The sequence below is a fragment of the Homo sapiens genome, chromosome 17, assembly GCF_000001405.40.
Source record: "Homo sapiens chromosome 17, GRCh38.p14 Primary Assembly".
Classification (NCBI taxonomy): Eukaryota; Metazoa; Chordata; class Mammalia; order Primates; family Hominidae; genus Homo; species Homo sapiens.
Window position 1 is genome coordinate 39999726 of NC_000017.11, and position 22789 is coordinate 40022514.

Below are 22789 nucleotides of genomic sequence, written 5' to 3' on the forward strand. Positions count from 1 at the left end.
TAAGGAAATTAAAAGTGCTGCTCCAGGTTGGGCACGGTGGCTCACAACTGTAATCCCAGCACTTTGGGAGGCTGAGGCGGGCAGATCACAAGGTCAGGAGTTCGAGACCAGCCTGGCCAGCATGGTGAAACCCCGTCTCTACTACAAATACAAAAACTAGCCAGGCATGGCAGTGGGCGCCTGTAATCCCAGCTACTCGGGAGGCTGAGATAGGAGAATCCTTGAAACCGGAAGGCAGAGGTTGCAGTGAGCCGAGATCACACCACTGCACTTCAGCCTGGGTAACAAAAGCGAAACTCTGTCTCAAAAAAAATGTTTTAAAAAGAGTTCGAGACCAGCCTGGCCAACATGGCAAGACCCCATCTCTACTAAAAATACAAAAAATTAGCTGGGCGTGGTGGTGCATGCCTGTACTCCGAACTACTTAGGACGCTGAGGCAGGAGAATCGCTTGAAGTGGGGAGGCGGAGGTTACCATGAGTCAAGATCGCACCACTGCACTCCAACCTGGGTGACAGAGCGAAATTCTGTCTCAAAACAATAAAAAATAAAAATGATAAATTAAATTAAAAGTGCTGCTCTAGTGGACACACAAATGATATGAAAGCAGAATAGCATTATTGCTGATACGGAGAAAGTTTGAGTCTGGAAAGAAGATCAAATCAGCCACAACATTCCTTTAAGCCAAAGCCTAGTCCGGAGAAAGGCCCTCACTCTCTTCAATCCTTTGAAGGCAGAGAGAGGTGAGAAAGTTGCAGAAGAAAAGTCAGAAGCTAACAGAGGTTGTTTTGTGAGGTTGAAAGAAAGAAGCCGTCTCTGTAACATAAAAGTGCAAAGTGAAGCAGCAAGTGCTGATGGAGAAGCTGCAGTAAGTTATCCATCAGATCTAGCTGATCTCACTGACGAAGGTGGCTACACTCAAAAACAGACTTTCAATGTAGACAAACAGCCTTCTATTGGAAGAAGATGCCACCTGGGACTTTCATAGCTACAGAAGAGAAGTCAATCCCTGGCTTCAAAGCTTCGAAGGACAGGCTGACTCTCGTTAGGGCTAATGCAGCTGGCGACTTTAAGTTGAAGCCAATGCTCATTTACCATTCCGAAAATCCCAGGGCTCTTAAGAATGATGCTAAATCTATTCTGCCTGTGCTCTGTGGATGGAACAACAAAGCCTGGATGACAGCCCATCTGTTCCCAGCATGGTTTACCGAACATTTTAAGCCACTGTTGAGACCAACTCCTTCGTCGGCTCTGTCGGCCAGGCTGGAGTGCCGTGGCATGATCTCAGCTCACTGCAACCTCTGCTTCTAGGTTCAAGCGATTCTCCTGCCTCAGCCTCCTGAGTAGCTGGGATTACAGGCATGAGCCACCGCACTCAGCCAAAAAAAATATTTTTTAAAGTTATTACTGCTGATTGACGATGCACCTGATTACCCAAGGGCTCTGATGGAGGGATACCAGGGAAATAATATTGTTTTCATTCCTGCTAACACATCCATTCTGCAGCCCATGGATGAAGAAGTAATTTCAACTTTCAAGTCTTTTTTAAGAAATACATTTTGTAAGGCTAGAGCTGCCATAGTGATTCCGCTGATGGATCTGGGTAAACTGAAAACTTAGAAAGCATTCATCATTCTAGATGCCATTAAGAATATTCATGATTAGGGCCGGACGTGGTGGCTCATGCCTATAATCCCAGCACTTTGGGAGGCTGAGGCAGGTGGATAAACTGAGGTCAGGAGTTTGAGACCAAGCTGGCCAACATGGTGAAACTCCATCTCCACTAAAAATAAATAAATAAATAAATAAATAAATAAATAAATAAATAAATACAAAACTTAGTCAGGTATGGTGGCACGCACCTGTAGTCCCAGCTACTCGGGAGGCTGAGACATGAGAATCGCTTGAATCCGGGAGGCAGAGGTTGCAGTGAGCCGAGATCGTGCCAATGCACTTCAGCCTGGGTGACAGAGTGAGACTCTCTCAAAAAACAAAAAAAGAATATTCATGATTAGGCCGGGAGTGGTGGCTGACACCTATAATTCCAGCACTTTGGGAGGCTGAGGCAAGAAGATCGCTTGAGCCCAGGAGGCCAAGAGCAGCCTGAATAACAAAGTGAGAACCCATCTGTATTAAAAAAATTTAAAAATTAGGCCGAGTGCAGCGGCTCACACCTGTAACTCCAGCACTTTGGGAGGATGAAGCGGGTGGATCACTTGAGGACAGGAGTTCGAGACCAGCCTGACCAACATGGTGAAACCACATCTCTACTAAAAATACAAAATTAGCCGGGCATGGTGGCGCTTTCCTGTAACCCCAGCTATTTGGGAGGCTGAGGCAGGAGAATCGCTTGAACCCGGGAGGCGGAGGTTGCAGTGAGCCGAGATCATGCCATTGCACTCCAGCCTGGGTGACAAAAGCAAGGCTCCATCTCAAAAAATTAACATTAGCAGGAGTTTGAAAGAAGTTGATTACAACCTTCATGGGTGACTTTGAGGGGCTGAAGACACACTTCAGTGGAGGAAAAAACTGCAGATGTAGAAATAGCAAAAGAACTAGAATTAGAAGTGGACCCTGAGGCCAGGCCCACTGGCTCACACCTGCAATCCCAGCAATTTGGGAGGCCAGGGCAGGAGGATAACTTGAGCTCAGAAGTTCCAAACCAACCTGGGTAACATAGCAAGACCTCGTCTCTACAAAAAAAAAAAAAAAAAAAAAAAAAGTGGAGCCTGAAGATGGGACTGAATTGCTGCCATCTCATGATAACATTTGAACAGATGAGTTGCTTCTATGGATGAGCAAGGAAAGTGGTTTCTTGAGATGGAATCTACTCCCGGTGAAGAGGCTGTGAACATTGCTGAAATGGCAACAAAGATTTAGGATATTACATATACTTAGTTGATAAAGCAGCAGCAGTTTGAGAGGATTGACTCCATTTCTTTCTTTCTTTTTTTTTTTTTTTGAGATGGAGTCTTGCTCTGTCGCCCAGGCTGGAGTGCAGTGCAGTGGCATGATCTTGGCTCACTGCAACCTCCACCTCCTGGGTCCAAGAGGTTCTCCCACCTCAGCCTCCCCAGTAGCTGGGACTACAGGTGCACGCCACCACGCCCAGTTAATTTTTTTCTATTTTTGGAAGAGATGGGGTTTCACCATGTTGGCCAGGCTGGTCTCGAACTCCTGACCTCAGGTGATCCACCCGCCTCAGCCTCCCAAAGTGCTGTGATTACAGGCGTGAGCCACCGCTCCAGGCCAGCATTGACTTCAATTTTGAAAGAAGTTCTACTGTGGGTAGAACGATGTCAAACAGCATCATATGCTATAGAGAAACCTTTCTAGAAATGGAGAGTCGGCCGGGCATGGTGGCTCACACCTGTAATGCCAGCACTTTGGGAGGCCGAGGCGGGCAGATCACCTGAGGTCAGGAGTTCGAGACCAACCTGGCCAACATGGTGAAATCTCGTCCCTACTAAAAATACAAAAATGAGACGGGCATGGTGGTGGGAGCCTGTAATCCCAGCTTCTTGGGAGGCTGAGGCAGGAAAATTGCTTGAATCTGGGAGGCGGAGCTTGCAGTGAGCCGGGATCGTGCCACTGCACTCCAGCCTGGGCAACAGAGGGAGACCCCATCTCAAAACAAAACAAAACAAACAAAAACACAAAAATGAAAAAAGAAAAGTCAATTGATGCAGAAAATTTCATTATTTTCTTATTTTAAGAAATTGTTTTCACCTGAAGGCACTAGGAAAAATAAAAACAAAAATAAGGAAAAAAAAAAGAAATTGCTACAGTCACCCCAAACTTCACCAGCCACCACCCTGATCAGTGAGTGGTCATCAACATGAGGCAAGACCCTTCACTAGCAAAAAGATTAGGACTTGCTGAAGGCACAGATGATTGTTAGCATTTTTAGCAATAAAGGTTTTTTGTTTTGTTTTGTTTTGTTTTTTGAGGCAGAGTCTTGCTCTGTCACCTAGGCTGGAGTGCAATGGTGCATTCTTGGCTCACTGCAACCTCTGCCTCCGGATTCAAGCGATTCTCCTGCCTCAGCCTCCTGAGTAGCTGGGACTATAGGCGCCAGCTACCACACCCGGCTAATTTTTGTACTTTTAGTAGAGACGGGGTTTAACTATGTTGTCCAGGCTGGTCTCGAACTCCTGACCTCAGGTGATCCACCCGTCTCGGCCTCCCAAAGTGCTGGGATTACAGGCACGAGCCACTGCGCCCGGCCAATTATTTTTAAATTAAAGTATGTACATATATATGTTTTTAAATATAATGCTATTGCACACTTAATAGACTACGGTATAGTGTAAACCTAACTTTTTTTTTTTGAGACAGGGTCTCACTCTGTCATCCAGGCTGAAATCAGTGGCACTATCACAGCTCACTGTAGCCTTGACCTCTTCGGGCTCAGGTAGATGATCCTCTCACCTCAGCCTCCCAAGTAACTGGGACTATAGGTGAGTGCCACCACACCCAGCTAATTTTTTATTTTTTTGTAGAGATGGGGTCTTGCAATGTTGCCCAGGCTGGACTTGAACTTCTGGGCTCAAGTGATCCGTCCGCCTCGGCCTCCCTAAGTGCTGGGATTACAGGCATGAGCCACCGTGCCCGGACCATATTGTGTAAACATAACTTTTCTATGCAGTGGGAAACCAGCACCTCTGTGACACCCTTTATCGTGGTGGTCTGGAACCGAACCTGCAATATCTCCGAGGTCTGCCTGTATTCATAATTTCCATTAAATACAGGTTTTGGCCTGGCCTTGCTCTGGCTCCTGATCATACTCCAGCCCTGGTCACAATATTTGGCATCACTACCTTCCTTTAATCTTCAGCTGCCTTTCGGTAAAATGAAACTCCTAAAGTTGACTTTGCAAAACAACACTTCTCCTGTGTTTCCCAAACCCGCCCTTCAATCTCTGTGGCAGATGTTTTGATCCTAGCGTCCGGATTCTTCATCTATTTTTAGGGCTCCAATCCTTGCCCCATTTTAACCTTTGATTTTGCAAACCAATCCCAAAACCTTCTCATAGATCTTTGATTCCCTTCCAGGAAGGGTGTGGTGGGAGGACTACGGTTAAGCACCTCCTCCGTGTCCTTTTAGGATGTGAGGACAGGTTCAGGTGGGTTAAATGAGTCCTGCAGTTGAACCCAGGCTGACCTGATACCAAGTTCAATGCGCCTTCTCTCAGGCTGTGCTGCCTTCTTCCGGCCTCAGCTTGGATGTATTAGTCAGGGTCCTCTAGAGGGACAGAACTAATACAATAGTTGTATATATAAAGGGGAGTTTAAGGAGTATTGACTCACGCAACAGGCCGTCTGCAAGCTGAGGAGCAAGGAAGCCAGTCCGCATCCCAAAACCTCAAAAGTAGGGAAGGTAACAGTGCAGCCTTCAGTCTGTGGTCAAAGGTCCAAACGTCCCAAAGCTGAAGAACTTAGAGTCCAGCGTTCAAGGGCAGGAAGCATCCAGCACGGGAGAAAGATGGAGGCCAGAAGACTCAGCCAGTCTGGTCTTTCCATGCTCTTCTGCCTGCTTTTTATTCTGCCTGCTCTGGCAGCTGATTAGATTGTGCTCACCCCAATTGAGGTCTACCTTTCCCAGTCCTCTGACTCAAATATTAATCTCCTTTGGCAACACCCTCACAGACACACCCAGGATCAATACTTTGTATCCTTCAATCCAATCAAGTTGACACTCAATATTAACCATCACTCTGGGGTTCTGTTATCCAGTCAGTCTTCATTTGTCTTTGGGTCTCCATGTAGCAGTCCTTCTGGCCCTTGACAGCTTTCCATGACTTCAAAAGCCAACTTTTCTTGAGTGTGTGATCCGAAGACATACATATGGCAGGCACAGCTGCCTGAAGCCCTTTCCAGCCTGTTCAATGTTTGTAGCTGTAATGAGCATTCTTCCTGAGGAGCCCAGCCTCACAAGAGGTTATAAATCTTCAGCCTTGGTTGTAAGTGACCGGAGAGAGTTTATCACCCTCTTCCAGAGAGCTGAGGTCATTCGCCATGATTCCCTGGTTCTTGCCCACATAAGGTCTATGGGCCATTTTTCCGTCTGCTCACTGTCTAGAGGCTTCTTCATCCACTGTCTGGATGAACCTTGTTGGCGTGGCTTCTAATTTCCTGAAGAAACTCAGTGTCACTTTTTTTTTTTTTTTTAAAGACAGAGTCTCATTCTGTCGCTCAGGCTGGAGTGCAGTGGCACAATCTTGGCTCACTACAACCTCCGCCTCCCAGGTTCAAGCAATTATCCTGCCTCAGCTTCCCAAGTAGCTGGGATTACAGGCACACGCCACCATGCCTGGCTAATTTTTTTGTATTTTTAGAAGAGATGGCGTTTCGCCATGTTGGCCAGGCTGGTCTTGAACTTCTGACCTCAGGTGATCCACCTGCCTCGGTCTCACAAAGTACTGGGATTACAGGCATGAGCCACCGCGCCCAGCCAAGTGTCACTTTCATGCTTAGAAAGTTCACTGTATTATTTTACCTTCCAGCTTTGTTTGTTTGTTTGTTTGTTTTGGGACGGAATCTCACTCTGTCACCCAGGCTGGAGTGCAGTGTTGCGATTTCGGCTCACCGCAACCTCTGCTGCCAGGGTTCAAGCGATCCTCCTGCCTCAGCCTTTCCAGTAGCTGGGATTACAGGCATACACCACCACACCCAGCTGATTTTTGTATTTTAGTAGAGATGGGGTTTCACCATGTGGGCCAGGTTGGTCTCGAACTCCTGACCTCAAGTGATCCGCCCGCCTTGGCCTCCCAAAGTGCTGGGATTACAAACATGAGCCACCCTGCCCGGCTACCTTCCAGTTTTGTTTTGTTTTTTAATTTGAAAACTACATAGAAGTACAAAGAATAACATAACAAATATGTACCCATATATTCTCCACCCAAGTTTAATCATGTTAACATTTCATTAGTCTGTGAAGTTTTTTAATCAAAAAAGAAATAAATTGGACACCATGGTTCATGCCTATAATCTCAGCCCTTTGAGAGGCCAATGCAGGAGGATCGCTTGAGCCTAGAAGTTTGAGACCAGCCTGGGCAACACAGTAAGATCCCATCTCTACAAAATAAATAAATAAATAAAACATTATGGCTAAGCTGGAAGTCCATCTTGTTCCCCTGGCAAAGCCAGCCACTTTAATGAATTCAGCTGGCAGGCTTCTAGTTTGTTTTTATACTTCTACTACATAATAGTATTGAGCTGCCAGGTGCAATGGCTCACGCCTGTAATCCCAGCACTTTGGAAGGCTGAGGCGGGAAGATTGCTCGAGCCCAGGAGTTTGAGACCAGCCTGGGCAACATGGCAAACCCCCTCTCTATAAAAAACACAAAAAAGGCCAGGAGCAGTGGCTCACGCCTGTAATCCCATCACTTTGGGAGGCCGAGGCGGGTGGATCACAAGGTCAGGAGATCGAGACCATCCTGGCTAACATGGTGAAACCCCATCTCTACTAAAAATATTAAAAATTAGCTGGGCGTGGTGGCAGGCGCCTATAGTCCCAGCTACTCAGGAAGCTGAGGCAGGAGAATGGCGTGAACCTGGAAAGCGGAGCTTGCAGTGAGCCGAGATCACGCCACTGCATTCCAGCCTGGGCAACAGAGTGAGACTCCTACTCAAAAAAAAAGGGCCTGGTGCAGTGGGTCATGCCTGTAATCTCAGCTCTTTGGGAGGCCGAGGTGGGCAGATCACATGGTCAGGAGATCGAGACCATCCTTGACCAACATGGTGAAACCCCGTCTCTACTAAAAATACAAAAATTAGCTGTGCCTGGTGGCGCGTGCCTGCCTGTATACTAGCTACTCGGGAGGCTGAGACAGGAGAATTGCTTGAACCCAAGAGTCAGAGGTTGCAGTGAGCAAAGATCTTGCCATAGCACTCCAGCCTGGCGACAGAGAGAGACTCCATCTCAAAAAAAAAAAAAATTAGGCAGGCACAGTGGTGCGCACCTGCAGTCCCAGCTACTTAGGGAGGCTAAGGTGGAAGGATCCCTTGAGCCCTGGGGGGCAGAGGTTTCAGTGAGCCAAGATTGCTCCACTGCACTCCAGCCTAAGTGACAGAGTGGGACCCTGTCTCAAAAAAAAACAAGAATAATATTGAGCTTTTATTCATTTTATTATTGAATTAGTCTGTTCTCACACTGCTATAAAGATACCTGAGACAGGGTAATTTATAAAGAAAAGAGGCTTCACTGGCTCATGGTTCTGCGGGCTGTACAGGCTTCTTGCTTCTCAGGAGGCCTCAGGAAACTTATAATCATAAGAGGAAGGGGTGGAAGACGAAGGGGAAGTAATCACGTTTCCATGGTGGGAGCAGGAGAAAGACAAAAGGCAAAAGGGAAGGTGCAACACACTTACCTCCCACCAGGCCCCACCTCCAACACTCAGAATCACAATTCAACATGAGATTTGGGTGGGCAGACAGAGCCAAACCATATCAATTTTATTTATTTATTTATTTATTTATTTTTCGAGGACAGGGTCTCACTCTGTCATCCAGGCTGGACTGCAGTGGGGTGATTACAGCTCACTGCAGCCTCAACCTCCCTGGCCCAAGCGATCCTCCCACCTCAGCCTCCCAGGTAGCTAGAACTACAGGCTTGCACAACCATGCCCGGCAAATTTTTTGATTTTTTTTGTAGAGATGGGGCCTCCTTATGTCGCCCAGGCTTATCTTAAACTCCTGGACTCACAAGCAATCCTCCTATCTCAGGCTCCCTACGTGCTGGGATTACAGGCATGAACCACCATGCCCGGCCAGTATTGAGTCTTAAAATTCTTGTAACTGGTATATTACAGGAATGTAATTTGCTCTGTTTTCGCTCAATATTGTTTTTAGACCTAATCACATTGATGCCCATGCCAAGCACTGTTCTGGGCACTGAGAATACAAATTCTCAGAGTCTTCACTCTGGACAGCTTTCCTCTCAGAGTCTTTCCTCTCAGAGTCTTCACTCTGGACAGGTTGGGAGGCATACATAGTATGAAGGGACCAGTATCTATCTAGCTATTCCCATGTTGATGGGCATTGCAAATGCATTTCCATTGGTTTACTATAACAGTGTTCCAAAGAACATCTCTGGCCAGGTGCAGTGGCTCACGGCTGTAATCCTAACACTTTTTAGGAGGCCAAGGCAGGAGGATCACTTGAGGACAGTAGTTCAAGACCAGCCTGGGCAGCATAGGGAGACTGTCTCTACGAAAAATCAAAAAATTATGGCCGGGCATGGTGGCTCACGTCTGTAATCCCTGAACTTTGGGACATCAAGGCAAGTGGATCACTTGAGGTCAGGAGTTCGAGACTAGCCTGGCCAACATGGTGAAACCCTATCTCTACTAAAAATACAAAAATTAGCCAGGCATGGTGGCAGGCACCTGTAATCCCGGCTACTCAGGAGGCTGAGGCAGGAGAATCACTTGAACCCAGGAGGCGGAGGTTGCAGTGAGCTGAGATCACACCACTGCACTCCAGCCTGGGTGACAGAGCAAGACTCTATCTCAAAAAAAAAAAAAAAATCAAAAAATTAGCCAGGCATGGTAGTGCACACCTTTAGTCTCAGCTACTCAGGAGGCTGAGGTGGGAGGATCACTTGAACCTGGGCAGTCAAGGCTGCAGTGAGCCAAGATCATGCCACTGCACTCCAGCCTGGGCAACAGAGAGAGACCCTGTCTCTAAAAAAATAATAATAATAAAGAAAAAAACAGCTCTGTTTATGTCTCCTGGTACATACATACTATGTATATAGTTTGCAAACTCAAAGATCCAGATAGTCAATTTTTTAGGCTTGTGGGCCGTATGGTCTCTGTCACAATCACTCTGCCCTGTCTTTCTAGCACAAAAGCAGCTATAAACAATACATACATGAATTTTTTATAGACATCGAGATTTGAATTTCATATGATTTTTACATTTTATAAAATAATCTTTTTAAAAATTTTCCCCTAACCATTTAAAAGTGTAAAAGCCGGCCAGGCGCCGCCATGGCTCACGCCTGTAATTCCAGCACTTTGGGAGGCTGAGGTGGGCAGATCACTTGAGATCAACAGTTCGAGACCAGCCTGGCCAACATAGCAAAACCCCATTTCTACTAAAAATAAAAAAATTAGCTGGGCATAGTGGTGCACACCTGTGATCCCAGCTACTTGGGAGGCTGAGGCAGGAGAATCGCTTGAACCTGGGAAGCGGAGGTTGCAGTGAGCCAACATCATGCCACTGCACTCCAGCCTGGGTGACAGAGTGAGACTTCGTCTCAACGAAAAAAAAAAAGTGTAAAAGCCATTCCTAATTCAGTGTACATCAGTGTACATACTCAGGTCTGCGTACTCCTGCTCTGAGGCATACCTGAGAAGTAGAGTTGCTTGGTCACAGGACATACACATTTCCACATTAACTAGACACTACCAAGTTGCCATCCAAGGAGGTTTTTTTTTTACAATCTACACTCCCCCCAGCAACAAATGAGAGTTACTCCAGATCCTTTACAAAGATGCTCTAAGCCCAGTACCAGATGAAAACAGGAAGTGGGAGGGGAAGCTGCCAGCCCCTTCTAACCATGAAGAAATACCTGGTAGAGCCTTCTGGATGCTGGAAGGATGAATAACGGGGGTCTCTGGAGCCTGCCCCCTGTCAGATCACTGTGACTTCTGAGCCTCCAGTCCAGCTCAGCCCCATGTGTCATGGCCAGTGATAATGAGCCCTCACTCTCTGTTTGGTCTTTATTCTCCCCCATGTGGGGCTGAAGTCTGGATTGAGCCGTTATTCAAGATGTACAGCTTTCTTGACAGGAAAGTAGTGTCACAGAAACAGCAGGGGCTTGGCAAGATGATCTAACTGCAAATCCTACCTGGCTCAGCCACCAGCTAGTTCTGTGATCTTGAACAAGTTTTTTCACTTCTCTGAGGCCATCCCTTGGCTACAACACACCAGTTGGTTGACAGGATGAAATGACGAAAGTGCCTTACACCTGTAATCCCAGCACTTTGGGAGGCCAAGGCGGGTGGATGGCTTGAGCCTGAGAGGTGACAGCATGCCGGCAGTCCTCACAGCCCTCGTTCGCTCTCGGCGCCTCCTCTGCCTGGGCTCCCACTTCGGTGGCACTTGAGGAGCCCTTCAGCCCACCGCTGCACTGTGGGAGCCCCTTTCTGGGCTGGCCAAGGCCAGAGCCGGCTCCCTCAGCTTGCAGGGAGGTGTGGAGGGAGAGGCTCAAGCAGGAACCGGGGCTGCGCGCGGCGCTTGCGGGCCAGCTGGAGTTCCGGGTGGGCGTGGGCTTGGCGGGCCCCGCACTCGGAGCAGCGGGCCAGCCCTGCCAGGCCCCGGGCAATGAGAGGCTTAGCACCCGGGCCAGCGGCTGCGGAGGGTGTACTGGGTGCCCCAGCAGTGCCAGCCCGCCGGCGCTGTGCTCGCTCGATTTCTCACTGGGCCTTAGCAGCCTTCCCGCGGGGCAGGGCTCGGGACCTGCAGCCCGCCATGCCTGAGCCTCCCCTCCATGGGCTCCTGTGCGGCCCGAGCCTCCCCGACGAGCACCACCCCCTGCTCCACAGCGCCCAGTCCCATCGACCACGCAAGGGCTGAGAAGTGCGGGCGCACGGCACCGGGACTGGCAGGCAGCTACCCCTGCAGCCCTGGTGCGGAATCCACTGGGTGAAGCCAGCTGGGCTCCTGAGTCTGGTGGAGACTTGGAGAACCTTTATGTCTAGCTCAGGGATCGTAAATACACCAATCAGCACCCTGTGTCTAGCTCAGGTTCTGTGAATGCACCAATCCACACTCTGTATCTAGCTACTCTGATGGGGCCTTGGAGAACCTTTATGTCTAGCTCAGGGATTGTAAATACACCAATCGGCACTCTGTATCTAGCTCAAGGTTTGTAAACACACCAATCAGCACCCTGTGTCTAGCTCAGGGTATGTGAATGCACCAATCGACAGTCTGTATCTGGCTACTTTCATGGGCATCCGTGTGAAGAGACCACCAAACAGGCTTTGTGTGAGCAATAAAGCTTTTATCACCTGGGTGCAGGTGGGCTGAGTCCGAAAAGAGAGTCAGCGAAGGGAGATAAGGGTGGGGCCGTTTTATAGGATTTGGGTAGGTAAAGGAAAATTACAGTCAAAGGGGGTTTGTTCTCTGGCGGGCAGGAGTGGGGGGTCGCAAGGTGCTCAGTGGGGGTGCTTTTTGAGCCAGGATGAGCCAGGAAAAGGACTTTCACAAGGTAATGTCATCAATTAAGGCAAGGACCCGCCATTTACACCTCTTTTGTGGTGGAATGTCATCAGTTAAGTTGGGGCAGGGCATATTCACTTCTTTTGTGATTCTTCAGTTACTTCAGGCCATCTGGGCGTATATGTGCAAGTTACAGGGGATGCGATGGCTTGGCTTGGGCTCAGAGGCTTGACAGCTACTCTGGTGGGGCCTTGGAGAATGTTTGTGTCGACACTCTGTATCTAGTTAATCTAGTGGGGACGTGGAGAACCTTTGTGTCTAGCTCAGGGATTGTAAACGCACCAATCAGCGCCCTGTCAAAACAGACCACTCGGCTCTACCAATCAGCAGGATGTGGGTGGGGCCAGATAAGAGAATAAAAGCAGGCTGCCCGAGCCAGCAGTGGCAACGGGCACAGGTCCCCATCCACAATATGGCAGCTTTGTTCTTTTGCTGTTTGCGATAAATCTTGCTACTGCTCGCTTTTTGGGTCCACACTGCTTTTATGAGCTGTAACACTCACCACGAAGGTCTGCAGCTTCACTCCTGAAGCCACTAAGACCACGAGCCCACCGGGAGGAATGAACAACTCCGGCCGCGCTGCCTTAAGAGCTATAACACTCACCGCGAAGGTCTGCAGCTTCACTCCTCAGCCAGCGAGACCACGAACCCACCAGAAGGAAGAAACTGCGAACACATCTGAACATCAGAAGGAACAAACTCCAGATGCACCACCTTAAGAGCTGTAACACTCACTGCGAGGGTCCGCGGCTTCCTTCTTGAAGTCAGTGAGACCAAGCACTCACCAGTTTCGGACACAAGCCCAGGAGTTTGAGATCAGCCTGGGCAACATGATGAAATGCCCTCTCTGCAAAAAAAAAAAAATTACAAAAATTGGCGGAGCATGGTGGTCCGTGCCTGTGGTCCCAGCTACGCGGGAGGCTAAAGTGGGAGGATCGCTTGAGCCTGGGAGGTGAAGACTGCAGTGAGCTGTGATTGTACCACAGCCCTCTAGGCTGGGGGACAGACTGAGACCCTGTTTCCCCTCCGCAAAAAAATTGACAAAAGTGTAATAAGAGGTGCCTGATATGGCTAGGCGCAGTGGCTCATGCCTGTAATCCCAGCACTTTGGGAAGCCGAGGCGGGCGGGTCACCTAAGGTCAGGAGTGTGAGACCAGCCTGGCCAACATGGAGAAAGCCCATCTCTTCTAAAAATACAAAATTAGCCGGCTGTGGGGGCAGTGGTGGAGCATGCCTGTAATCCCAGCTACTCAGGAGGCTGAGGCAGGAGAATCACTTGAACCCAGGAGGCGGCGGTTGCAGTGAGCCGAGATCGTGCCATTGCACTCCACCCACTCCAGCCTGGGCAACAAGAGCCAAACTCTGTCTTAAAAAAAAAAAAAAAAAGTGCCTGACATATAAGAGGTGTGCAATGCAATAGTTGCCAGGCAACATGTTTAAGAATGTGGAGCTCCTGCCTTCCATGGTCCTGTTAAAAACCCACCCTCAAGGCCAGGTGCAGTGGCTCATGCCTATAATCCCAGCACTTTGGGAGGCCGAGGCGGGTGGATCACCTGAGGTCAGGAGTTCGAGACCAGCCTGACCACCAACATGGTGAAATCCCACCTCTACTAAAAATACAAAATTAGATGAGCATGGTGGTGCATGCCTGTAATCCCACCTACTTGGGAGGCTGAGGCAGGAAAATCACTAGAACCAGGGAGGCGGAGGTTGTAGTGAGCCGAGATCGTGCCATTGCACTCCAGCCTGAGCAATGAGCGAAACTCCATCTCAAAAAAACAACAACAAAAACCCACCCTCTACTCCCAGGGAGCTGGGTACAGAGCTGGGCCACATCAGTGCAAGGTGCTGAGCCACAGAGCTAAGGCGGAGCTGCAGGACCGCGGACCAGATAACAGTGTGTGAGATCAGTGTGTGAGATCAGACGTCCCTGCCATTGGTGACCACCAGGGGGCCCCCAAGCACCAGAGATGGCCCCATCCAGTCACCACATCCACTTCTCATCCAGAGATGTCTGTTTCTTGGCACGCTGGGGTAAATTAGGACAGAAGGTGACAGTCTTGGGTGTGGTCAGTCAGACTGCCCCAGGCAGGCCTTGTGGCCTGTAGAAAACGTTCAGGCCTAGGCCGGGCACGGTGGCTCACGCCTGTAATCCCAGCACTTTGGGAGGCCGAGGCGGGTGGATCACGAGGTCAGGAGATCGTGACCATCCTGGCTAACACGGTGAAACCCCGTCTCTACTAAAAATACAAAAAATTGGCCGGGCATGGTGGCGGGCACCTGTAGTTCCAGCTACTCGGGAGGCTGAGGCAGGAGAATGGCGTGAACCCGAGAGGCAGAGTTTGCAGTGAGCCGAGATCGCGCCACTGCACTCCAGCCTGGGCGACAGAGCAAGACTCCATCTGGAAAAGAAAAAGAAAACGTTCAGGTCTGAGCCAGAGGCCCAGGCTGTAATTCTGTCACTTACCATGACCTTGGGCAAGGCACTTCCTTCCCTGGCCCAGTTCACGGGGTTGGAATCGACTCCAAGGTCCCTTCCAGCATTAACGCTGCATGGTTCTAAGATGAGAAGATGGGGCAGTTTCCCCTCTCTCACCCCAGCCCGTGTCCACTTCAAGGTGAATGACCAGGGAAGTCACGTGTCCCAATCCCGCAGTTCCAAAGCCCTTGGGGACCCTACTGTCAGGGTCGTGCACGAGGAGGTGAAGGTCAGGTGAGCCAATCGCCTCGAAGGGTCTTGCCTCATTCGGGACAGACATCCGGTTTCCTCTGGCTCTACCGGGATTCTAGGGGCTTTAGCCGAATGAGTCATGGGGGGCGGGGGGGTTTCTGGGGGAGTTCCCAGCTAATCAACTTGGGACAGGACAGCCTGGAACTTTCGATGGTGCCTATCCAAGTGTGGGGTGGGCACAGCAGCCAAGACCCAATGTCCTTATCTCAGGTAGGGGCTCAGGAGGTCTCCCAGACAGGCAGCCTCCGGAGAGTTTGGGGGTAGGAATGGGAGCAACCAGCTTCTTTTTTTCTCTCTTAGAATTTGGGGGCTTGGGGGACAGGCTTGAGAATCCCAAAGGAGAGGGGCAAAGGACACTGCCCCCGCAAGTCTGCCAGAGCAGAGAGGGAGACCCCGACTCAGCTGCCACTTCCCCACAGGCTGCTGCCGCTTCCAGGCGTCTATCAGCGGCTCAGCCTTTGTTCAGCTGTTCTGTTCAAACACTCTGGGGCCATTCAGGCCTGGGTGGGGCAGCGGGAGGAAGGGAGTTTGAGGGGGGCAAGGCGACGTCAAAGGAGGATCAGAGATTCCACAATTTCACAAAACTTTCGCAAACAGCTTTTTGTTCCAACCCCCCTGCATTGTCTTGGACACCAAATTTGCATAAATCCTGGGAAGTTATTACTAAGCCTTAGTCGTGGCCCCAGGTAATTTCCTCCCAGGCCTCCATGGGGTTATGTATAAAGGCCCCCCTAGAGCTGGGCCCCAAAACAGCCCGGAGCCTGCAGCCCAGCCCCACCCAGACCCATGGCTGGACCTGCCACCCAGAGCCCCATGAAGCTGATGGGTGAGTGTCTTGGCCCAGGATGGGAGAGCCGCCTGCCCTGGCATGGGAGGGAGGCTGGTGTGACAGAGGGGCTGGGGATCCCCGTTCTGGGAATGGGGATTAAAGGCACCCAGTGTCCCCGAGAGGGCCTCAGGTGGTAGGGAACAGCATGTCTCCTGAGCCCGCTCTGTCCCCAGCCCTGCAGCTGCTGCTGTGGCACAGTGCACTCTGGACAGTGCAGGAAGCCACCCCCCTGGGCCCTGCCAGCTCCCTGCCCCAGAGCTTCCTGCTCAAGTGCTTAGAGCAAGTGAGGAAGATCCAGGGCGATGGCGCAGCGCTCCAGGAGAAGCTGGTGAGTGAGGTGGGTGAGAGGGCTGTGGAGGGAAGCCCGGTGGGGAGAGCTAAGGGGGATGGAACTGCAGGGCCAACATCCTCTGGAAGGGACGTGGGAGAATATTAGGAGCAGTGGAGCTGGGGAAGGCTGGGAAGGGACTTGGGGAGGAGGACCTTGGTGGGGACAGTGCTCGGGAGGGCTGGCTGGGATGGGAGTGGAGGCATTACATTCAGGAGAAAGGGCAAGGGCCCCTGTGAGATCAGAGAGTGGGGGTGCAGGGCAGAGAGGAACTGAACAGCCTGGCAGGACATGGAGGGAGGGGAAAGACCAGAGAGTCGGGGAGGACCCGGGAAGGAGCGGCGACCCGGCCATGGCGAGTCTCACTCAGCATCCTTCCATCCCCAGTGTGCCACCTACAAGCTGTGCCACCCCGAGGAGCTGGTGCTGCTCGGACACTCTCTGGGCATCCCCTGGGCTCCCCTGAGCAGCTGCCCCAGCCAGGCCCTGCAGCTGGTGAGTGTCAGGAAAGGATAAGGCTAATGAGGAGGGGGAAGGAGAGGAGGAACACCCATGGGCTCCCCCATGTCTCCAGGTTCCAAGCTGGGGGCCTGACGTATCTCAGGCAGCACCCCCTAACTCTTCCGCTCTGTCTCACAGGCAGGCTGCTTGAGCCAACTCCATAGCGGCCTTTTCCTCTACCAGGGGCTCCTGCAGGCCCTGGAAGGGATCTCCCCCGAGTTGGGTCCCACCTTGGACACACTGCAGCTGGACGTCGCCGACTTTGCCACCACCATCTGGCAGCAGGTGAGCCTTGTTGGGCAGGGTGGCCAAGGTCGTGCTGGCATTCTGGGCACCACAGCCAGGCCTGTGTATGGGCCCTGTCCATGCTGTCACCCCCAGCATTTCCTCATTTGTAATAACGCCCACTCAGAAGGGCCCAACCACTGATCACAGCTTTCCCCCACAGATGGAAGAACTGGGAATGGCCCCTGCCCTGCAGCCCACCCAGGGTGCCATGCCGGCCTTCGCCTCTGCTTTCCAGCGCCGGGCAGGAGGGGTCCTGGTTGCCTCCCATCTGCAGAGCTTCCTGGAGGTGTCGTACCGCGTTCTACGCCACCTTGCCCAGCCCTGAGCCAAGCCCTCCCCATCCCATGTATTTATCTCTATTTAATATTTATGTCTATTTAAGCCTCATATTTAAAGACAGGGAAGAGCAGAACGGAGCCCCAGGCCTCTGTGTCCTTCCCTGCATTTCTGAGTTTCATTCTCCTGCCTGTAGCAGTGAGAAAAAGCTCCTGTCCTCCCATCCCCTGGACTGGGAGGTAGATAGGTAAATACCAAGTATTTATTACTATGACTGCTCCCCAGCCCTGGCTCTGCAATGGGCACTGGGATGAGCCGCTGTGAGCCCCTGGTCCTGAGGGTCCCCACCTGGGACCCTTGAGAGTATCAGGTCTCCCACGTGGGAGACAAGAAATCCCTGTTTAATATTTAAACAGCAGTGTTCCCCATCTGGGTCCTTGCACCCCTCACTCTGGCCTCAGCCGACTGCACAGCGGCCCCTGCATCCCCTTGGCTGTGAGGCCCCTGGACAAGCAGAGGTGGCCAGAGCTGGGAGGCATGGCCCTGGGGTCCCACGAATTTGCTGGGGAATCTCGTTTTTCTTCTTAAGACTTTTGGGACATGGTTTGACTCCCGAACATCACCGACGCGTCTCCTGTTTTTCTGGGTGGCCTCGGGACACCTGCCCTGCCCCCACGAGGGTCAGGACTGTGACTCTTTTTAGGGCCAGGCAGGTGCCTGGACATTTGCCTTGCTGGACGGGGACTGGGGATGTGGGAGGGAGCAGACAGGAGGAATCATGTCAGGCCTGTGTGTGAAAGGAAGCTCCACTGTCACCCTCCACCTCTTCACCCCCCACTCACCAGTGTCCCCTCCACTGTCACATTGTAACTGAACTTCAGGATAATAAAGTGTTTGCCTCCAGTCACGTCCTTCCTCCTTCTTGAGTCCAGCTGGTGCCTGGCCAGGGGCTGGGGAGGTGGCTGAAGGGTGGGAGAGGCCAGAGGGAGGTCGGGGAGGAGGTCTGGGGAGGAGGTCCAGGGAGGAGGAGGAAAGTTCTCAAGTTCGTCTGACATTCATTCCGTTAGCACATATTTATCTGAGCACCTACTCTGTGCAGACGCTGGGCTAAGTGCTGGGGACACAGCAGGGAACAAGGCAGACATGGAATCTGCACTCGAGCAGCCAAAGCCTGGCAGGGAAGACAGAGGCACAGGGACCATGGGAACCCGGAAAGGAGAGGGCATGGGGTCTGGGTGGGCTTAACAGGCCAGACACAGCCAGACAAGATGAAGCCAGGGAGTGCTGAGCATCTGCACCAGGCTTGTCATTTACCATCTTCCATAAACTTGAGCCCATCCATCAAGTTGCCCACAAAGTGGAAGCCAAGTTCAAGGTGACCACTGGGGTCAGAGCTTCTCTCCTCAGACTCGGTCTCTGCACTCGCCCCAGCTGGTCACTTCCTGCTTGTGGCAGCCTTGGGCTGAAGAGCGCTAAGCTCACAGCCCAGGAGGGTGGGGAGCTGTGGCAAGCAGGGGGGGCAGCGACCGCACCACAGGTGTGAGGCCTGCCTGCAGCCAAAGACTCCTGTGTGGCTTTGGGGTACCCCCACCAGTCCCCAGTCCACTATCTGCCCAAACCTTCTCCTCCTCAGCTCCTCAGTCCCTCCCACCTCCCCTGCCCGTGGCTCCTCGGAAAGCAGGGTCAGAAGTTCCCACTGCCAGCTCGGAGTCATCCATCTAGGGGCTCAGAGATGTGTGAGGCAGGCAAGGAAGGGTTAAAGAAAGGTCCGGCCCCTCATCCCCCCGCCTCCCATCCCCCAGTCCTTTTTTGGAGGCAACAGATCAAATCCCAGGCTAGTCAGAGTGTGGGTGGTGTTGGACCAGGTTCGGGAGACAGCAGAGCAGGCCACCCTGCCCCAGCACTGTGGGGCCCTGAGCCAAAGCCTCTCCCCTTTCAGGGTACAGCTGGCTTTGGGGGAGGGGGCAGCAGGCCAGCCAACTTGGCTCCAAGGAAGGGAAGCTGCTTTCCCCTGGCCCTTCCCCAGCTGAGCAAGCCCACATAGGACCCTGAGCCCTGCCGCCTCTGCTCCTCTTCCTCCTCCTCCTCACCACAGGAGTGAGCCGTTCCCTGGCCACAGCACAGGAGTCCAGGGAGAGGACACTATGCCCTGCCCCGGGTGGCACCAATACCAACAGCACACACAGTCACAAAGGGAGCCACGAGGAGCTTTATTTATACATGAACGAAGGTAGATTTCCCTCACATATTACAAAATACACACAAACACACACACACACACACACACACACACATACACACTTTGCATCTAGAAAGTTCCTCAGAGGTAAGACTACTCCTGGGCTGGGGCGGGCGCACACAGGGGTGACCACTGGGCTTGTGGTCCAGGCTGCTCACTCTCCTCAGGTGCCAGCAGATGGAGAGGAAATTTTGAAAGAAGAAACCGGGAGACATCCTGGAGGTCAGGAGTCAGGAGCGGGGAACTGGAAGCCGCTAGAGGCTCTTGCACCATGTGGAGCGGATGTGAGGCACGATGCCTCATCTTTCCTCACTGCTTCCCTTGGAGGCGCCTGGGGCTGCGCCAGTCCCCAGCCCCCACTGCGGCCATGCCAAGCCCCTCAGAGTGCAGCAATGGCTTTAGCAGCCACCTGGCGGCCCAGGGGCAGGCTGAGGTCCGTGATGGCCAGAACCACCTTGGGGCTGGACATGGCTGACACCTTCACCAGTTCCGACACCTGCCACGGACAGACAGATGCTGCTTGCGGGACGGCTGGTGGTGGGTGTGCTGTCCCAGGGGGAAGGAGGCCCCTCCCTGCTCTAAGGGCTGCCCCGAGGCCCCAGCACCAGCAGGAGAGCCGGGAAGGTGGTACTCACGGTGGTGAAGGGCATGAACTGCAGGACGCTGCCACGGCCACCCTGCTCCAGGCAGTCCACACACTCCTCCATGAACCACTGCACGAACTGGGTGTGGGGGCCAGCGGTGCGAGACCCCAGGATGGAGGAGATGAGCAGGAACAGGTTGGCTGTAGAGAGTGGGGGGAGAGTGACAGGAGGGAGTTCCATGAGAGTGGGTGAGGTCACACTCTGGGAGAAGGTGGGACTGAAAAGGGAAAAGAAACACATGCTGAGCATGTCCCCAAAATGGGGTGTCAGAGAGAGAAAATATAAAAGGCAATTGGGGAGGGGAGGAGGGGGAACTAGACAGGAGCCTGGGGGCCAGGACAGCCAACAATGAGGGGCATGGAGAGGGAAGGGAGGGGCACCGCAAGGCCCCTTCCAGCTGACAAGGTCTCCCAGCCTCCATGAGAAGAGAGACTCGTCCAGCTTAGCCCCAGGTTCGGCAGCAGGGGTGGGGAACTCACCCAGGACTCGGTTCAGAGGGTCCCGCATGTTGACCGTGTGGAGCTGAGAGGCTGAGAGGGAGCTGCTCATGGATCGGTCTGCTGTGGGACGGAGCAGATGGAGCGCTGGGAAACAGCCTGCCGAGTGCAAAAGTGGTGCTCCCCGGGGATGCCCCAACCCGACCTTCACCCATCGGAGGTAACTGGTACATGGAGAGCCCAGAGAAGACCCTGAGATCAAGAGCACAAAGGGAGGCCAGGTACAGTGGCTCACACCTGTAATCCCAGCATTTTGGGAGGCCGAGGCAGGAGGATCGCTTGAGTCCAGGAGTTTGAGACCAGCCTTGGCAACTAGCGAGACCTCATCTCTACAAAAAATACAAAAATTAGCTGGGTGTGGTGCCAACGCCTGTAGTCCCAGCTCCTCGGGAGGCTGAGGCAGACTGCTTGAGCCTAGGAGAACAAGGCTGCAGTGAGCCGAGATGGTGCCACTGCACTCCAGCCTGAGCAACAGAGCAAAACCGTGTCTCAGAAAAACAGGCTGGGCGTGGTGGCTCACGCCTGTAATCCCAGCACTTTGGGAGGCCAAGGCGGGTGGATCATCTGAGTTCAGGAGTTCGAGACCAGCCTGACCAATATGGTGAAACCCCGTCTCTACTAAAAATACAAAAATTAGCCAGGCGTTGTGGCAGGCGCCTGTAGTCCCAGAGACTCAGGAGGCTGAGACAGGAAAATTGCTTAAACCCAGGAGGCGGAGGTTGCAGTAAGCTGAGATCGTGCGACTGCACTCCAGCCTGGGCAACAGAGGGAGACTCCAACTCAAACAAACAAACAAACAAACAAACAAAAAACAAAACAAAAAAAGGGCACAGAGGGACCTCAGATACAGAGATCCCAATGGAATGAGAGAGAAAAACTAACATGTGGTGAGCACACAGGGCCAGGGGCCGATCTTGGTACTTCCTAAGCTGCTTACTCCTCACAACACCCCATTTACAGATGAGGAGACCCAGACGGGGGCTGGCTCAGTCGCTAGCTAAAGGTCACAGCACTTGTAGCTGGCAAACCTAGCATCTTTCTTCTGATCAAGTGTATAGTTGGTCCCCTAGTTCCTAAAAGGCTTCAGAGAAAAGTTCAGGCTCAGGAGAAATCTCTGGAAACAGGAAAAATGCCACAGAAGGAACCCTTGGCAGTAAGCCTGGCAGGGAGGAGGGGACAGTGAAAAGGATGACCTCCAGGGAAGTGGTTGGTGGGGGGTGTGCTCTTTAGGCAGGAAGGTGGGGAGTAGCCCCATGCCCCAGCCCGGGCCTCTCCGGGCATGTTTTGGGGGAAGGAAGGAAGGAAGGTCAGAGCTGGTGAGTCAATGGCACAGGCTGTGCCTGAGGCAGTGAACTCACTCACTTGGGTAGCTTGTCATCCCCTCAACCCTGGGGTAAGGGAGGGGCAGGAGGGCTGTGGGGGAACAACTGTGGGCTGGGCTGGACCTGGGCAGAGGAGCTTCAACCCTCAGGGAGTGAGAACAGCAACCTCTTCTCCAGGGGCAGGACACAGAGCACCCCCTTGGGGGCTAGAACAGCAGGTCCCTGCCACACCCTCTCTGACCAGCTGCAAAGATGCCTGCAGCTGGGGCAGCGGCAGAGTGGCAGCATCGGGGAGTGAATTCCCAGGAAAAGGAGCGGCGCGCGGCCAGCCCACACACTCACTGGGGCTCGAAAGGATGTTGGCATCGTCCTCATTAGAGCTCAGCAGTCGCATCAACTTCGAAGGCTGCACATCGTCCAGGGGGAAGAGGCTGATATAATCCTAGAGGGAGTGAAAGTCACTGTTATACACCCCTAAACCCCCCAGTTTCCAGCTGTCAGGGAAAAGAGCTTGAGCTCCGATTTGAGCGAGGTCAGCATGGCTAGCAGGGCCTCAGCCCCTCTCTGCTCAACCCCTCCCACAATCTGACAGGCCCCTTGTGCCCATGGGCAAGCTGGGGCCACACAAATCACCCATGCAGATTCCTGACCAATCATGCCCAGGCACAGCTGCCCCAAGGGCAGGGGCCACAACTGCTTCCCTTTGCCTGGGGAATCCTTAGGAAATGCTGTAACAAACCGGTGAACAAGTGAAGCCGGCGAGGGCAGCTGGGGGGCCTACCTCAATGTCTTCGCGGTGTCTCTTCTTCTGGCGGGTGGACGCCTGTCCCTTGTGGGAGGAGTAGGAACTGAGGGCACACCACACGGCCAGCCTGGCAAAGGGTTCCAGAAAAAGGGGGACA

General features: G+C 52.5%; 2 protein-coding genes and 1 long non-coding RNA gene across 14 annotated transcripts in view, besides 2 other annotated features; 1 reads left to right on the forward strand and 2 right to left on the reverse strand.

Moving 5' to 3' along the window:
* Positions 1–10421: 10421 nt before the first annotated feature.
* On the reverse strand, positions 10422–14916 carry PSMD3-AS1 (PSMD3 antisense RNA 1). Its single transcript, NR_198981.1, has 3 exons — positions 14829–14916; positions 14513–14634; positions 10422–13079 (listed from the first exon to the last, which is right to left on the reverse strand). It is a non-coding gene; the product is annotated as a PSMD3 antisense RNA 1 (long non-coding RNA).
* Positions 11581–12520: an enhancer, noted in NCBI's record as "NANOG-H3K27ac-H3K4me1 hESC enhancer chr17:38167559-38168498 (GRCh37/hg19 assembly coordinates)". NCBI's record gives its function as "activates a minimal SCP1, AML or CMV promoter by ChIP-STARR-seq in naive H9 embryonic stem cells {active_cell/tissue: H9 hESC(naive)}" and the evidence as "EXISTENCE:reporter gene assay evidence [ECO:0000049][PMID:30033119]".
* Positions 15625–16124: an enhancer, noted in NCBI's record as "H3K4me1 hESC enhancer chr17:38171603-38172102 (GRCh37/hg19 assembly coordinates)". NCBI's record gives its function as "activates a minimal SCP1, AML or CMV promoter by ChIP-STARR-seq in naive H9 embryonic stem cells {active_cell/tissue: H9 hESC(naive)}" and the evidence as "EXISTENCE:reporter gene assay evidence [ECO:0000049][PMID:30033119]".
* CSF3 (colony stimulating factor 3) lies at positions 15715–18088 on the forward strand. Of its 8 annotated transcripts, none has more exons than NM_000759.4 (5): positions 15715–15789; positions 15966–16129; positions 16508–16615; positions 16760–16906; positions 17070–18088. In NM_000759.4, exons 1-5 carry the CDS (start codon positions 15750–15752, stop codon positions 17232–17234), a joined length of 624 nt encoding a protein of 207 aa, NP_000750.1. In that variant the 5' UTR covers positions 15715–15749; the 3' UTR covers positions 17235–18088. The 8 variants fall into 8 exon arrangements, 4 of the variants coding, with proteins under 4 accessions (NP_000750.1, NP_757373.1, NP_757374.2 ...); NM_172219.3 differs by having other exon boundaries at positions 15966–16120; NR_168491.1 differs by having other exon boundaries at positions 15715–16129.
* Positions 18089–19378: 1290 nt separating this feature from the next.
* Positions 19379–22789, reverse strand: part of MED24 (mediator complex subunit 24) — a 35305-nt gene continuing 31894 nt past the window's right edge. For all 5 annotated transcript variants that reach the window (NR_052017.2, NM_001267797.2, NM_014815.4 and 2 more), the window contains 5 exons: positions 22669–22759; positions 22230–22329; positions 20548–20628; positions 20060–20208; positions 19379–19920 (listed from right to left, as the gene is read on the reverse strand). Coding sequence is in view for 4 of the 5 variants with exons in the window: in NM_001267797.2 (NP_001254726.1) it covers positions 19804–19920; positions 20060–20208; positions 20548–20628; positions 22230–22329; positions 22669–22759 (538 nt within the window). In the remaining variant the exon portion in view is untranslated. The remainder of the gene's footprint in view (positions 19921–20059; positions 20209–20547; positions 20629–22229; positions 22330–22668; positions 22760–22789) is intronic.